We start from the raw sequence: 4,325 nt of genomic DNA, 5'->3' as shown, positions 1-4,325 counted from the left end.
ACCCAGTGTTTTGAGCCCTCTCAGAGTTTGTAGAACTCTGGAGAGAGAAACTGAGACATGTACAAGGGTAGACCTGACTCAATGGTGACACACTGTAGAGTCCTGCCCACGAGCAGTACAAATCGATCCACCACACAAAAACCCTAGGCCACAGCTCAGTTTCTCCTTTTAAGAAAAAAAAAAAAAAGCAGGAAACAAATAATCTAAGAATGAGTAGAAAACAAGGAGGAAAAGCCTATTTTGAGCACTTTGTAGGTTTTTTTGGCACCTCTACTTGCCAGAGCATTGGGGGAAACCCATCCCTGATAATTCTTTGTGGGCACTTATCTATTTCCCTAAGTGTCGGCCAGTCTGAGAAATAAAGGGAAAGAGTACAAAAGAGAGAAATTTTAAAGCTGGGTGTCCGGGGTAGACATCACATGTCGGCAGGTTCCATGATGCCCCCTGAGCCACAAAACCAGCAAGTTTTTGTTAGTGATTTTCAAAAGGGGAGGGAGTGTACGAATAGGGTGTGGGTCACAGAGATCACGTGCTTCACAAGGTAGTAAAATATCACAAGGCAAATGGAGGCAGGGTGAGATCACAGAACCAGGGTGAAATTAAAATTGCTAATGAAGCTTTGGGCACGCATTGTCATTGATAACATCTTATCATGAGACAGGGTTTGAGAGCAGACAACCAGTCTGACCAAAATTTATTAGGTGGGAATTTCCTCATCCTAATAAGCCTGGGAGCACTATAGGAGACCGGGGCTTATTTCATTCCTTATGACAACCGTAAAAGACAGACATCCCTAGAGCAGCCATTTTAGAGACCTCCCCCTAGGAACGCATTCTGTTCCTTGCTGAGAAAAAGAATTCAGCAATATTTCTCCTATTTGCTTTTGAAAGAAGAGAAATACGGCTCTGTTCCGCCCAGCTCTCAGGCAGCCAGACCTAATGGTTATCTCCCTTGTTCCCTGAACGTCGCTCTTATCTTGTTCTTTTTTCAAGGTGCCCAGATTTCATATTGTTTAAACAATTTGTGCAGTTAACGCAATTATCACAGGGTCCTAAGGCGACATACACCCTCAGCTTACAAAGATGATGGGATGAAGAGATTAAAGTAAAGACAGGCATAGGAAATCACAAGAATATTGATTGGGGAAGTGATAAGTGTCCATGAAATCTCCACAATTTATGTTCAGAGATTGCAGTAAAGACAGGCATAAGAAATTATAAAAGTATTAATTTGGGGAACTAATAAGTGTCCATGAAATCTTCACAATTTATGTTCTTCTGCCATGGCTTTAGCCGGTCCCTCTGTTCAGGGTCCCTGACTTCCCACAACACCAGAGTTTATGTGAAATGGAAGTAAATCATCTTTGTGCACATTTACATTAAGAAGAAAGAGCCCAAAGGTTGAACCACAAACTATAGAGTTCCTAGGTCCTATTATCTTTTCTGCCTGCTTTAAATCTACCATTACTTTTCTTCTGAGATAAAAACCACTCTTTGTCTTTGTTTCTGTTAGACCGCTTTTCATTTCTGTATTGAGTATCTTAAGTACTGTAGAAAAGATGTCACTTCTTCCTTTAAGGCTGTCTTGTAATATATATAAGGACTGGAATTGTGTTTCTAAAGAAAAGCATTCAAGTATGACAATATACTACCTGTGTTTTCACCATTAAAAGTGCTGTTTAGTAGTTTAAACTTAAACTATTTAATGTCATTTAATAAAGTGACCAAAATGTGTTCTTTATTGTATTTTCACAGCTTTGAAAAAATAAATAATTCAACCATATATCCCTAATATTTCACAGCCTCCTTAAGAATGTATAACAGTCAACAAACATAAAAGAAATAGCAGACAGAGTATGAGATGCTGAAGAAACACTACAGTGCACTGAATGCAAAATTATGCACTTGTGTTGTGCAGGGGAAATAGTTTGGGGTTAAATCAGTCACTCAGTGATGTGAAGATTTTGAAGAACTGGAAGAACTACAAATTCAGTTGCAATCATGAGCCTTTTCTAATCCCAAACTCATTAAAAGTGAAGGCGAATTTCTGACCTCTTGCAATCCTTCAATGTTAAGCTTCATACTGCCATTTTATTTTAATATTTTTTTAAGTTCTGGAATACATGTGCAGGATGCGCAGTTTGTTACATAGGTAAACGTGTGCCATGGTGGTTTGCTGCACAGATCAACCCATCACCTAGTTATTAAGCCAAGCATGCATTATCTCTTTTCCTTAATGCTCTCTCGCATCCCCCATCCTCTTATCTGGCCTCCATGTGTGTTGTTCCCTTCCCTGAGTCCATGTGTTCTTATTGTTCAGCTCCCACTTATAAGTGAGAACATGCAGTGTTTGGTTTTCTGTTCCTGCATTAGTCTGCTGCGGATAACATCTTCCAGCTTCATTCTTGTCCTTGCAAAGGACATGATCTCATTCATTTTTATGGCTGCATTGTATTCCATGGTGTATATGTGTCACATTTTCTCTATCCAGCCTACCATTGATGGGCATTTTGATTGATTTCATGTCTTTGCTATTGTGAATAGTGCTGCAATGAACATATGCATGTATGTAATGTATCTTTATAATAGAATGATTTATATTCTTCTGGGTGTATACCCAGTAATGGTATTTCTTGGTCAAATGGTATTTCTGTTCTAAATGACTCACCACACACTCTTCCACAATCATTGACCTAATTTACATTCTCACCAACAGTGTCTCTTGAATACAGCACACTGATGAGTCCTGTCTTTTTGTCCAGCTTGCCATTGTGTGTCTTTTAATTGGGGAATTTGGCCCATTTATTTTAAGGTTAATATTGGTATGTGTGAATTTGATTCTGTCATCATGATGTTGCCTGGTTAATTTTGCAGACTTGTTAATGTAGTTGCTTCATAGTGTCATGGGCCTGTGTATTTTAGTGTGTTTTTATAGTGGCTGCTAACAGATTTTCCTTTCCATGACTACTGTTTCCTACAGGATGTCTTTCAAGGCAAGCCTGGTGGTGACAAAATCCCTCAGCATTTGCTTGTCTGAAAAGGATTTTATTTCTCCTTCACTTATGAAGCTTAGTTTGGCCAGACATTAAATTCTGGGTTGGAAATTATTTTCTTTATTAATGTTGAATATTGGTCTCCAGTCTTTTCTGGCTTGTAGGATTTCTGCTGAGAATTCCACTGCTAGTCTGATGGGCTTCCCTCTGTAGGTGACCTGGCCTCTCTCTCTGGCTGCCCTTAACATTTTTTCCTTTCATTTCAACCTTGGAGAATCTGACGATTATGTGTCTTGGGATTGATCTTCTTGTGGAGTATCTTACTGGGACTGTCTGAATTTCCTGAATTTGAATGTTGACCTGTCTTGCTAGGTTGGGGATGTTCTCCTGGATGATATCCTGAAGTGTGTTTTTTGACTTGGCTCCATTCTCCACATCTCTTTCAGGTACTTCAATCAGTCATAGGTTTGGTCTTTTTACATAGTCCCATAGTTCTGGAAGGTATTGTTCATTGCTTTTTATTTTTTTCTGTAATCTTTTCTACCTGCCTTATTTTAGCAAGATAGTCTTCAAGCTCTGATACTCTTTCTTCTGCCTGGTTGATTTGGCTATTGATACTTGTGTTTGAATCATGAAGCTCTCACGCTGTGTTTCTCAGCTCCATCATGTCATTTGTATTCCTCTCTAAACTGGTTATTCTAATTAACAGTTCCTGTAATCTTTTATCACGGTTCTTAGCTTCTTTGCCTTGGGTTAGAATATAATCCTTTAGCTCAGCAAAGTTTGTCATTACACACTTTCTGATACCTACTTCTGTCAGTTCATCCATCTCAGCTTCAGCCCTGTTTTGTGCCCTTGCTGGAGAAGTGTTGAAATCATTTGAGGAGAAAAGGCATTCCAGCTTTTGGAATTTTCAGCGGTTTTGCGTTGGTTTTTCGTCATCTTTGTGGATTTATCTACCTTTAATCTTTAAAGCTGTTGACCTTTGGATGGGATTTTTGTAGGGTCTTTTTTGTTGATGCTGTGTTATTGTTGTTTTATTTTTTTTTGTTTTTCTTCCAACATTCAGGCCCTTCCTCTGCAGGTCTGCTGCAGTGTGCTGAGGATCTACTCCAGACACTGTTCACCTATGTATCACCAATGGAGGCTGCAGAACAGCAAAGAGTGCTGCCTCCTCCTTCCTCCGGAAGCTTCTTCCCAGAGGATCACTGACCTGACGCCTGTTGGAACTCTCCTGTATGAGGTGTCTGGCAACCCCTGTTGAATGGTCTAACCCAGTCAGGAGGCCCAGGATCAGGAACTCACTTAAGGAAAGAGTCTGGCTATCCCTTAG

Source organism: Homo sapiens, chromosome 11 (genome assembly GCF_000001405.40).
Source record: "Homo sapiens chromosome 11, GRCh38.p14 Primary Assembly".
NCBI classification, from domain to species: domain Eukaryota; kingdom Metazoa; phylum Chordata; class Mammalia; order Primates; family Hominidae; genus Homo; species Homo sapiens.
Note: the sequence above shows the minus strand (reverse complement) of the source record.